This window comes from Homo sapiens, chromosome 14 (assembly GCF_000001405.40).
Source record: "Homo sapiens chromosome 14, GRCh38.p14 Primary Assembly".
In the NCBI taxonomy this organism is placed as follows: Eukaryota; Metazoa; Chordata; class Mammalia; order Primates; family Hominidae; genus Homo; species Homo sapiens.
Genome location: NC_000014.9, coordinates 22,616,953 through 22,630,300, shown reverse-complemented (window position 1 = coordinate 22,630,300; position 13,348 = coordinate 22,616,953).

Below are 13,348 nucleotides of genomic sequence, written 5' to 3'. Positions count from 1 at the left end.
ACCTTGTGCCTCTAGAGGAAGCCCACTGTTACTGTACATCTGGCAAAGCAGTTAGACTGTGAGGCTCAGTCTTCTATGGAGATTTCTGTGAGTCTCTAGGATCAGATTAGTGGAGAGGAAGAAGCTAGACCTCTGTGATTCCCTGTGTAAGACTCTGAGATGGCCTCAGAACCCATGCTCTTTCTACCAGAAGTGTTTCACTTAAAATATTTGAGAACTCATAGACTGTCTCAGAAGTCTTTCAAACCACTGACCAAAAGCTTCTAAGCTTGGATTTAAAACCAGCAACATACGTCCAAGTTTCCACTGGTGAACCCTTAGCCTAGCAGTTCCATTCTCAGCCCACAGCAAACACTTCCTTCTTATAGACCTTTTCATGCTTTGTGGGGTTGATGTGTTTGTTTGTCTGTCTTTGTTAGGGGTGGCAAATATTTGAGTCTCACAGCACCAAATATGTTAGCAGTGGAAGGCATCCAGGCTACCAGAGGCGAATCCATACGGGTCTGCAGCAACCTCAATCCTTGTCTCCTCAGAAGAAAGAATTTGACTGAGGGGCATAAGATGGAAAAAGAGACCATGGGAAGTTTCAGAGCAGGGGTGGAAGTTTATTTAAAAAGGCTTTAGAACAGCAAAGAAAGGAAAGTATGCTTGGAAGAGATCCAAGTGGGCACCGAGGTAAAGTGCAGTGTTTAACCTTGATCCTAGGACTCTATAGGCTGGCCCCTTTCCCATGATTCTTCCCTTAGGGTGTGCTGCCTGCACGTGCAGTGCCCCCCTTACCCTTGGGAAGTGAGCACACACATTGTGTTTAGGAAGTTGTACCCACGCCCAACTGAGGCTTTCTTCCCTTTTCCGGTGGAGTGCCCCTGGAAGGTCATACTCCGCCATTTTGTCTCTTAATATGCATGCCCAAAAAGATGCTTCTTCCTGGCATCTGTATTCAATTAACACTTCAGTGCAACAGGTGTGGACCCTCAGGATAATGGCGTCTCCCTGGCTGCCAATTTATCACTTTTAGAGAGGCAATGTGACAAATCCTGAACCATCACCTGACATTCCTAGTTGGTGGAGGATAGCCCTCTCCTGCCCCACTCATGCCTGACTACCTGTAACATCTTCCCCAAGAAATAGCAAATCCCCTTCAGTGCAGAAGATTGGTTGATATTAATTTGGGGGTCTCCTACCCTTTCTCCCAGAAACCTACATCAGTGTTTCACATACCAGATATGCTCAGTAAGTATTTACTAAATAAAGTGAAAATATGTGCAGTTATCAAAAGTCCTTTTTGAAAATGTAAATTTTAGCTTGGATTTGGGTTGGAGTATTCCCACTAAATAAAGCAGTCCAGCCCCTTAGAAAGGAGGAAGAAGCCTGCAGGCACTAGGAGGACCCCCTGAGGGGCAGTGAGCATCAGGAAAGGGTAATGGGTTCAGATACAGGGAAAGGGGCATGAGGGAAAAGTTCATCTGCTTGCACACTTTGCCTTAGCTGTCTGTACTTGCTCCCAATTCTACACTCATTCTAGTTCCAAGACCAAGTGGGAGGTAGCTTCTGCTGTAAACTCCTTAGAAAACAGAGCCTTAGAGATGGCCAGTGGTCCAGTCCCAGAAAGTCTGGGGATTGGGGGAGCATGTCAAAGTGTCACAGACCTCTCTAGTCTATGACATGATTTTTATTCTTTAATATATCTGTGGCATCCACAGCCTGCATCTGCCTGTGGCCTCCATTTACTCTCCCAGTAGCTCCAGAGAGTTTCTCCAGGATGCAGCTGGCAGAACCTAGGGGGCCGGGGGTGGCCTTGGCTTCTGAAGGTGTACAAGGGGGTCTGACACTCTGTAGCTGTTGGGAAATAGAATTAAAAACAAAATCTATTCCCAGCCCAGAAAACTGCCCCACAAAGGTTGTGCACATGTACCCTAAAACTTAAAGTATAATAATAATAAAAAAAGAAAACAAATAAAACAGTTTTATTATTGAATAAGCATTAAACCAGAATATAATGCTCATCACAGGCAATTTTCTAAAAAGATTGCAAAGACGGAAAGAAATTTCACCCTTTTATAAAGACATATTAATAAAATTAATTCCATACATTTTCTCTAGATAAACAACAACTAGTCCTCAAGTAAAAGGACTTGACAACCCCACTTGTCACACACAGTTTGTCCTCAGTTCACTTGGTAATTGGGGTGAATCATCTGTTCTATCTAATTGGCTTTATGACAAGGAAAAATAAACTTTACATATCTTTATAACAGGAGGTAGTTTAGGAGCAAGAGGTTCCTCCCCTCCCACCAGGACTGGGACATACAGGTGCTATCTTCCTTGATGATTTCAAAGAGATATTTCCCAGGTCCTTAAGAAAGACATTCCTGGGTTGTAATGCTGTTCAGAGGATTAGTTAACATTTAAAAAGTTTTATTTATAGTTCAAAGAGACAGAGAAAGAACTCATATATTTTTTGAGGTAAATGTGTAAGGAAAGGGAAGAGGGAGAAGTTTCTTCCTTTATTTTCAGCAGAGAAAAACAAGCCACTTATTTTGAATTTGCACTTGCCATTACGCAGCCCTGAGGCTTGGAGGAGGGGCGGGAGACATTCTGCCAATGCTCTTTGCGTCCGCCTGCTTTGCCAATTTTGGCGTATGTTTGTTCAGGATCCCTACAAAACAAGGTGAGCAGACCTGATTCCTGTCTGAGGGGCCTCATTCCCGAAACTGACATCACAGGTGTAAACCAAAGTTAGAATCAATTTTGGAAAACTTTTTTGTTTTTAATATTTTTAATTATGAAAATCCACATTCACTGTAAAATTTTAGCCAGTACAGAAGTGTATAAAGTAAAACATGAAAAGTCCTGCCAGCCAATTCCATTCTGTAGCAGTCAACATTGTTAGTTAAACATATATATATATATATATATATATATTTTTTTTTTTTTTTTTTTTTTTGAGACGGAGTCTCGCTCGGTCGCCCAGGCTGGAGTGCAGTGGCATGATCTTGGCTCACTGCAATCTCCGCCTCCTGGGTTCAAGTAATTCTCCTGTCTCAGCCTCCTGAGTAGCTGGGATTATAGGTGTGAGCCACCTTGCCCAGCCTAGGATGCTTATACTATATATGTATATATTCATTCATATTCACACATATAACTTTTGTTTTACAAAAAAGAAAGCGTTATATGAATTGTCTGCAACTTGATTTTTAAAATCTTCCCATGTCAATACTGTCAACAGAAAGAGTCAAACTGTAGAATAATTGAAGAGATTTATTCTGAGCCAAATGTGAGTGACCACGGCCTGTGACACAGCCCCAGGAGATCCTGATGACATATGCCCAAGGTGGTCAGGCTACAGCTTGTTTTTATACATTTTAGGGAGACATAAGACATCAACCAGTACATGTAAGATGTGCCTTGGTTTGATCTGGAAAGGCGGGACAACTCAAAGCAGGGAGGCGGTTGAGGGTGGAGGCATTGAGGAGGGTGGGGACGAAGAAGGGCTTCCGTGTCAAAGGTGAATTCAAAGATTTTCTGATTAGCAATTGGCCGAGAGTTTATCTAAAGCCCCGGAATTAATAAAAGGGAGTGTCTGGGTTCAGATGGGTTGTGGAGACTGAGGTTCTTATTATGCAGATGAAGTCTTCAGGTAGCAGGCTTCAGAGAGAACATCAGACTTAAAGAGACAGCTTTGCAGGGCCATTTCAAAATATGTCAAAGCAATATATTTTGGAGCAAAATACTCGGTTTCTTTCAGGGCCTGCTATCTTGGTCTGCATATTGTTATCTTATTGCTACCAAGAATCTGTGCTGCCTGTCTTAAGGTATAAGACTGTTTTAATGTTAATGCTGGTCAGCTGTGCCTGAATTCCAAAGGGAGGAAGGTTTAAGGAGGCATGTCTGACCACCCATTCTCATCATGGCCTGAACTAGTGTTTCAAGTTTACTTTAGAATGCCCTTGGTCGAGAGGAGGGGCCCATTTAGTTGGTTCGGGGTGCTTAGAATTTTATTTTTGGCTTACAGTACCCATAAAATTCCATAATTCATTTTTAGATGTCACATTTATAACCAATGAACACACATTTCTTCTATTTTGTTACTGGTGCTAAATTTTTTTGGCATAAATTCCTGCTATTAGGACTTATGGCTAATAGTGTAGGACCATTTTAAATTTCAGTAATTATTTTGATAAATTCTGCCAAGTTGCCTCCAAAAATGTGGAAACAATTTCCTCTCCCACCAACATTGTATAAAAAATCCAACTTCTTCACTTTTTGCCATTACTAGCTATTGTCAATCTTTAAAATTTTTGTCAACCTGCATGTAAAAAATAGTATCTTATTGTTATGTATTTCTTCTATTGCTAGTGAGGTTGAGTATCTTCTCATATGTTCATTGGTGTTTTTTTTTTTTTTTTGAGACAGAGTTTTGCTCTTGTCACCCAGGCTGGAGTACAATGGCAGGATCTCGGCTCACTGCAACCTCTGCCTCCCTGGTTCTAGCAATTATTCTGCCTTAGCCACCCGAGTAGCTGGGATTACAGGTATGAACCACCATGCTCGGCTAATTTTTGTATTTTTAGTAGAGACAGGGTTTCTCCATGTTGGCCAGGCTGGTCATGAACTCCTGACCTCAGGTGATCCACCCCTTGGCCTCTCAAAGTGCTGGGATTACAGGCATGAGCCAACACATCTGGCCTCTTTTTTTTTTTTTTTTTTTTGAGATGGAGTTTTGCTGTTGTCATCCAGGCTGGAATGCAATGGCATGATCTCGGCTCACTGCAACCTCTGCATCCCGGGTTCAAGCGATTCTTCTACCTCAGTTTCCCAAGTAGCTGGGATTACAGGAACCTGCTACCACACCCGGCTAATTTTTGTATTTTTAGTAGAGACGAGGTTTCACCATGTTGGCCAGGCTGGTCTCGAACTCCTGACCTCAGGTGATCCACCCACCTTGGCCTCCCAAAGTGCTGGGATTACAGGCATGAGCCACTGGTTCCGGCTTCATTGGTCATTTGTACACTTTATCAGAGCCAAAAGGCCGAGAAGCGATCATTCATTGGTCATTTGCATATCTTCTTCTGTAAATTACTTATTCATATTTCTTGCCATGTACACAAAAATAAAACATTTATTTTTCTCTGGGTTGCTTTTCTTTTTCTGATCACTTGTTATAAACTATTCTCATTGCTTATCAAAAAGCTTTATTTTGCCGGGCGTGGTGGCTCATGCCTGTAATCCCAGCACTTTGGGAGGCCGAGGAGGGTGGATTGCCTGAGGTCAGGAGTTCGAGACCAGCGCCAACATGGCAAAACCCTGTCTCTACTAAAAATACAAAAAGATTAGCCATGCAGGGTCATGTGTGCCTGTAATCCCAGCTACTCAAGAGGCTGAGGCAAGATAATTGCGTGAACCTAGGAGGTGGAGATTGCACTGAGCCGAGAGCGCGCCACTGCACTCCAGCCTGGGTGACAGAGTGAGGCTCTGTCTCAAAATAAAAAAAAAAAGCTTCATTTTGCAAACCCTTCAATCCTGCAATCTTACCTCAAGGAAGGAAATAATTGGTCAAATATGCAAATATGTACGTACAAGGGACTTAGCGCACATTGTTTATAACATACAAATATTTGGAAGCAATTTAAAGTCCAAGAACAGAGAAGCAGGTAAATGAACTATAGTAAATCCAGACAGTGGAAGAAGATGCAACAGTTAAAAATGATGATATATTTCTATGGATTCTATATTTATTGGTATAGAAAGAGATTTATAACAATAAGGTTAAAAATTTTTATAAAGCACTTTGTTAGTATGCTCTCATTCTAGTAAATATACATTTATGTATATAATAACATATATATCATCTGAAAGAATATATTCCAATGTATTTAACATGGTTATTTGTGGGTAGTATAATTATAGATTTTTTAAAAAGTGTTTTTAATTTTGTCTTATTTTTGTACAATTAAAAATTTTTGTTTACATTTAAAAAAAGGAAAAATGTTCTCAGAATTGAACCCAACACTCAAATCAGGTTACAGTGAAACCATTGAGTCCCCCAATCAATGCAGGGAATGAGACCTAGCTTTCCATTAGCTTTTGGGGCAGCTTCATTCCTTTACTGCCATAAACAGAGCTTCTAGCCCACTAAAACCTTCACATCGGTTTAATCTTTTCACATCAACTGCCATTGCTTTACTAGTTTGGTTCATTTTTTTCTATCTTTTTTTTTTTTTTTTTTGGAGACATGGTCTGACTGTGTTGCCCAGGCTGTGGTGCAGTGGCACTCCATAGCTTCATAGCTCACTGCAGCCTTGAACTTCTGGGCTCAAGCAATCCTTCTGCCTCAGCCTCCCGAGTAGCTAGGACTACAGTCACATGCCACCATGCCCAGCTAATTAAATTTTTTATTTTTATTTTTACTTTTAGCTATGGAGTCTTGCCATATTGCCCAGGCTGGTCTTGAACTCCTGGGCTCAAGCGATCCTCCTGCCTCAGTCCCCTAAAGTGCTGGGATTACAGGCGTGAGCCACCACACTCGGCCGAGGTTCATTTTTCTCATGTGAAAGACTTGACATTCATCTCTGCCCACACTTTGATCATATCAGAAAACAACCTGTGCAGCCGCTTTCTGATTGCTGAAGCCGCTTCATTCTTCCTCAGCAGGACCCTTTGAGATACAATTGAAACTTCATGTTTGAGAATGCCCTGTCCCTTTTAAGCACTATAGATAATTTTCCTTGGAACATTCTGAAATCTGACTTCCTGAAATCTATAAAAATTACATCTGACAATCTTTTTTCAATATTCTAGTAAACGCAATTGTGAGTAGAGCAAGAATTTACTAGGTGCTCTGCTTCTGGCAGAAAGAGACTCATGTTAGTGTCCTGATTCTTGGAGACCTCTGGCACTACTGTAACTTGCTTTTGATGTTTGGCAGTCTGAACTAAGAAAGCAGCATCTGTGTCCTCCAATTATCTTAGTATCTATTTCTGTTTGTTTCTCCTTTTATCCCCATCCAAACATTTCCACCTTCAGTTCTGTGGTTTCCTTTTTGGCATACATGCTATTGTTGAGTCCCTTCAATTAGATTCACTTCCTCTGAACAGCGTTATCTTTCCACGGTCCCCTCCAGTCATGGGATCCACATGATTGACTTATCTATCTTCTTGTCATAAAATTCAAGTTCCTCTCCCACTCTGGTCTTCTGTAATATAGCCAGCACTCCCCAGACTTTAGGATTTTAATAATATTAATTACAAATACAGGAAAAAATTCTAAAATTGATATGTTTGGAAACAAAAAATGACATTCCCTCTCACCCCCAAACAATCGTAGAATATCAGCATCTTTTTATAAAATAACAATAGTTTAATCCTGAAAGGGTTAGAAAGGATATAATTTCAGAATTTAAAAATACTAAAAAAAAAAAGGCACTATTTTGTTATGAACCAGAAATACTTTATCATGGACCAGCTCCAGTCTGTGGATCTATGTAGGAAGCCACTGCTATAATATATGGTTTTGCAGTTACATTTGGACACTTTCCTTGAACATTTTAGAAAGTACATGATGCCCAGTTTTTGTGTTAGTTACCTCATAATTTATCAGAGGCCCATAAATCTATCATAAGTTGTGAGCCCTCTCAAAAATTCTTTTCCCAGACACAACACATGGTGTCAGCTGGTCAAACTGAGAAGATGAAAATATCACCTCTAACGCCATATCCTTCAGGATCCTTTTCAGCCACTAGCATGTCTCAGGATTCTTCTGGTTGTGTGTGATTTGTTCTCATATTGTTATAGTTTGGATATCTGACTCTTCAAATCTCATGTTGAAATTTGATCCCCAATGTTGAGATGGGGCCTAATGGGAGGTGTCTGGGTCATGGGGCAGATTCCTCATGAATGGCTTGGTGCTGTCTGTGTGGTTATGAGTGAGTTCTTGTTCTAGCAGTGCCTGGGAGAGATTGTTAAAACAAGCCTGGCACCTCACTTGTTTCTCTCTGGCCTGCGCTGCCTTGTCATGTGATCTCTGCACACTCCAGCTCCCCTTACCCTTCCAGCATGAGTGGAAGCTTCCTGAGGCCCTCACCAGAAGCAGATGCTGATGCCATGCTTCTTGTACAGCCTGCAGAACTGACAGGTTTTCTTTTCTTTATAAATTACCTGGCCTCAGGTATTCCTTTATAGCAGAAGAAACAGACTAAGACACATATATACCAACTAAAATATGTGGTTGCTGAATTATCACAAACTCTCCATTAGGCCTCAGAATATTCCAGGAAGAAGGAGCATCAGCCATCAGTAAGGTGAAGTCTACAGATCTCCTAGGCCTTTAGCAGAGTCACCAACCAAGATAATGGGGTCCTTGTGGGTTGGGGAACAGACTCTGTGCACCTGCTGACATCTGTTAATCCTCCTTAGTATTCTCTCCAGGAATGAGGAAGGTCTTTCCTCCTTAACCCTAGTGAAGAGTGATATTTAGCAGGATGATGACAAAGATCTGTCTAGCATAACAATGCTGAACTTATACTATGAAAAACACTTGGGGTGGAGCCAAGATGGCCGAATATGAACAGCTCCAGTCTACAGCTCCCAGCGTGAGAGACGCAGAAGACGGGTGATTTCCGCATTTCCAACTGAGGTACCAGGTTCATCTCACTGGGGAGTGTTGGATAGTGGGTGCAGGAGAGTGGGTGCAGCGTACCGAGCGTGAGCCGAAGCAGGGCAAGCCATCGCTTCACTTGGGAAGTGCAAGGGGTCAGGGAATTCCCTTTCCTAGTCAAAGAAAGAGGTGACAGACGGCACCTGGAAAATTGGGTCACTCCCACCCTAAAACTGTGCTTTTCCAATGGTCTTAGCAAACTGCACCCCAGGAGATTATATCCCGTGCCTGGCTTGGAGGGTCCTATGCCCACGGAGCCTCACTCATTGCTAGCACAGCAGTCTGAGATCAAACTGCAAGGTGGCAGTGAGGCTGGGGAAGGGGCGCCCGCCATTGCCAAGGCTTGAGTAGGTAAACAAAGTGGCCGGGAAGCTCGATCTGGGTGGAGCCCACCGCAGCTCAAGGAGGCCTGCCTGCCTCTGTAGACTCCACCTCTGAGGGCAAGGCATAGCCAAACAAAAGGCAGCAGAAATCTCTGCAGACTTAAATGTCCCTGTCTGACAGCTTTGAAGAGAGTAGTGGTTCTCCCAGCACGCAGCTAGAGATCTGAGAACAGACAGACTGCCTCTTCAAGTGGGTCCCTGACCCCTGAGTAGCCTAACTGGGAGGCACCCCCCAGTAGGGGCAGACTGACACCTCACACGGCCGGTTAATCCTCTGAGACAAAACTTCCAGAGGAACGATCAGGCAGCAACATTTGCTGTTCACCAATATGTTCTGCAGCCTCCTCTGCTGATACCCAGGCAAACAGGGTCTGGAGTGGACCTCCAGCATACTCCAACAGACATGCAGCTGAGGGTCCTGACTGTTAGAAGGAAAACTAACAAACAGAAAGGACATCCACACCAAAACCCCATCTGTACATCACCATCATCAAAGACCAAAGGTAGATAAAACCACAAAGATGGGAGAAAAACTGGAAACTTTAAAAATCAGAGTGCCTCTCCTCCTCCAAAGGAATGGAGCTCCTCACCAGCAACGGAACAAAGCTGGATGGAGAATGACTTTGACAATTTGAGAGAAGAAGGCTTCAGATGATCAAACTACTCCAAGCTAAAGGAGGAAGTTCAAATCCATCACAAAGAAGTTAAAAACCATGAAAAAAAATTAGACGAATTGCTAACTAGAATGACCAATGCAGAGAATTCCTTAAAGGACCTGATGGAGCTGAAAACCACAGCACGAGAACTACGTGACGAATGCACAAGCCTCAGTAGCCGATTCGATCAACTGGAAGAAAGGGTATCAGTGATGGAAGATGAAACGAATGAAATGATGCAAGAAGAGAAGTTTAGAGAAAAAAGAATAATAAAAAAAAAAAACGAACAAAGCCTCCAAGAAATATGGGACTATGTGAAAAGACCAAATCTACGTCTGATTGGTGTACCTGAAAGTGACGGAGAGAATGGAACCAAGTTGGAAAACACTCTGCAGGATATTATCCAGGAGAACTTCCCCAATCTAGCAAGGCAGGCCAACATTCAAATTCAGGAAATACAGAGAATGCCACAAAGATACTCCTTGAGAAGAGCAACTCCAAGACACATAATTGTCAGATTCACCAAAGTTGAAATGAAGGAAAAAATGTTAAGGGCAGCCAGCGACAAAGGTCGGATTACCTACAAAGGAAAGCCCATCAGACTAACAGCTGATCTCTTGGCAGAAACTCTACAAGCCAGAAGAGAGTGGGGGCCAATATTCAACATTCTTAAAGAAAAGAATTTTCAATCCAGAATTTCATATCCGGCCAAACTAAGCTTCATAAGTGAAGGAGAAATAAAATCCTTTACAGACAAGCAAATGTTGAGAGATTTTGTCACCACCAGGCCTGCCTTAAAAGAGCTCCTGAAGGAAGCACTAAACATGGAAAGGAACAACCGGTACCAGCCACTGCAAAAACATGACAAATTGTAAAGATCATTGAGGCTAGGAAGATACTGCATCAACTAATGAGCAAAATAACCAGCTAACATCATAATGACAAGATCAAATTCACACATAACAATATTAACCTTAAATGTAAATGGGCTAAATGCTACAACTAAAAGACACAGACTGGCAAATTGGATAAAGAGTCAAGACCCATCAGTGTGCTGTATTCAGGAAACCCATCTCATGTGCAGAGACATACATAGGCTCGAAATAAAGGGATGGAGGAAGATCTACCAAGCAAACGGAAAACAAAAAAAGGCAGGGGTTGCAATCCTAGTTTCTGATAAAACAGACTTTAAACCAACAAAGATCAAAAGAGACAAAGAAAGCCATTACATAGTGGTAAAGGGATCAATTCAACAAGAAGAGCTAACTATCCTAAATATATATGCACCCAATACAAGAGCACCCAGATTCATAAAGCAAGTCCTTAGAGACCTACAAAGAGACTTAGACTCCCATACAATAATAATGGGAGACTTTAACACCCCACTGTCAACATTAGACAGATCAATGAGACAGAAAATTAACAAGGATATCCAGGAATTGAACTCAGCTCTGCACCAAGTGGACCTAATAGATATCTACAGAACTCTCCACCCCAAATCAACAGAAAATACATTCTTTTCAGCACCACATCACACCTATTCCAAAACTGACCACATAGTTGGAAGTAAAGCACTCCTCAGCAAATGTAAAAGAACAGAAATTATAACAAACTGTCTCTCAGACCACAGTGCAATCAAACTAGAACTCAGGATTAAGAAACTCACTCAAAACTGCTCAACTACATGGAAACTGAACAACCTGCTCCTGAATGACTACTGGGTTCATAATGAAATGAAGGCAGAAATAAAGATGTTCTTTGAAACCAACGAGAACAAAGACACAACATACCAGAATCTCTGGGACACATTCAAAGCAGTGTGTAGAGGGAAATTTATAGCACTAAATGCCCACAAGAGAAAGCAGGAAAGATCTAAAATTGACACTCTAACATCACAATTAAAAGAACTAGAGAAGCAAGAGCAAACACATTCAAAAGCTAGCAGAAGGCAAGAAATAACTAAGATCAGAGCAGAACTGAAGGAAATAGAGACACAAAAAACCCTTCAAAAAATCAATGAATCCAGGAGCTGGTTTTTTGAAAAGATCAATAAAATTGATAGACCGCTAGCAAGACTAATAAAGAAGAAAAGAGAGAAGAATTAAATAGACACAATAAAAAATGATAAAGGGGATATCACCAGCGATCCCACAGAAATACAAACTACCATCAGAGAATACTATAAACACCTCTATGCAAATAAACTAGAAAATCTAGAAGAGATGGATAAATTCCTGGACACATACACCCTCCCAAGACTAACCCAGGAAGAAGTTGAATCTCTGATAGACCAATAACAGGGTCTGAAATTGAGGCAATAATAGCTTACCAACCAAAAAAAGTCCAGGACCAGATGGATTCACAGCTGAATTCTACCAGAGGTACAAGGAGGAGCTGGTACCATTCCTTCTGAAACTATTCCAATCAATAGAAAAAGAGGGAATCCTCCCTAACTCATTTTATGAGGCCAGCATCATCCTGATACCAAAGCCTGCCAGAGACACAACAAAAAAAGAGAATTTTAGACCAACATCCCTGATGAACATCGATGCAAAAATCCTCAATAAAATCCTGGCAAACCGAATCCAGCAGCACATCAAAAAATTTATCCACCATGATCAAGGGGGCTTCATCCCTGGGATGCAAGGTTGGTTCAACATACACATATCAATAAATGTAATCCAGCATATAAAGAGAACCAACGACAAAAACCACTTGATTATCTCAATAGATGCAGAAAAGGCCTTTGACAAAATTCAACAACACTTCATGCTAAAAACTCTCAATAAATTAGGTATTGATGGGACGTGTCTCAAAATAATAAGAGCTATCTATGACGAACCCACAGCCAGTATCATAATGAATGGGCAAAAACTGGAAGCATTCCCTTTGAAAACTGGCACAAGACAGGGATGCCCTCTCTCACCACTCCTATTCAACATAGTGTTGGAAGTTCTGGCCAGGGCAATCAGGCAGGAGAAGGAAATAAAGGGTATTCAATTAGGAAAAGAGGAAGTCAAATTGTCCGTGTTTGCAGATTACGTGATTGTATATCTAGAAAACCCCATCGTCTCAGCCCAAAATCTCCTTAAGCTGATAGGCAACTTCAGCAAAGTCTCAGGATACAAAATCAATGTGCAAAAATCACAAGCATTCCTATACACCAATAACAGACAGAAAGCCAAATCATGAGTGAACTCCCATTCACAATTGCTTAAAAGAGAATAAAATACCTAGGAATCCAGCTTACAAGGGACGTGAAGGACTTCTTCAAGGAGAACTATAAACCATTGCTCAATGAAATAAAAGAGGATACAAACAAATGTAAGAACATTCCATGCTCATGGGTAGGAAGAATCAATATCGTGAAAATGGCCATACTGCCCAAGGTAATTTATAGATTCAATGCCATCCCCATCAAGCTACCAATGACTTTCTTCACAGAATTGGAAAAAATTACCTTAAAGTTCATATGGAAGCAAAAAAGAGCCCTCATTGTCAAGTCAATCCTAAGCCAAAAGAACAAAGCTGGAGGCATCATGCTACCTGACTTCAAACTATACTACAAGGCTACAGTAACCAAAACAGCACGGTACTGGTACCAAAATAGAGACATAGACCAATGTAACAGAATAGAGCCCTCAGAAATAATGC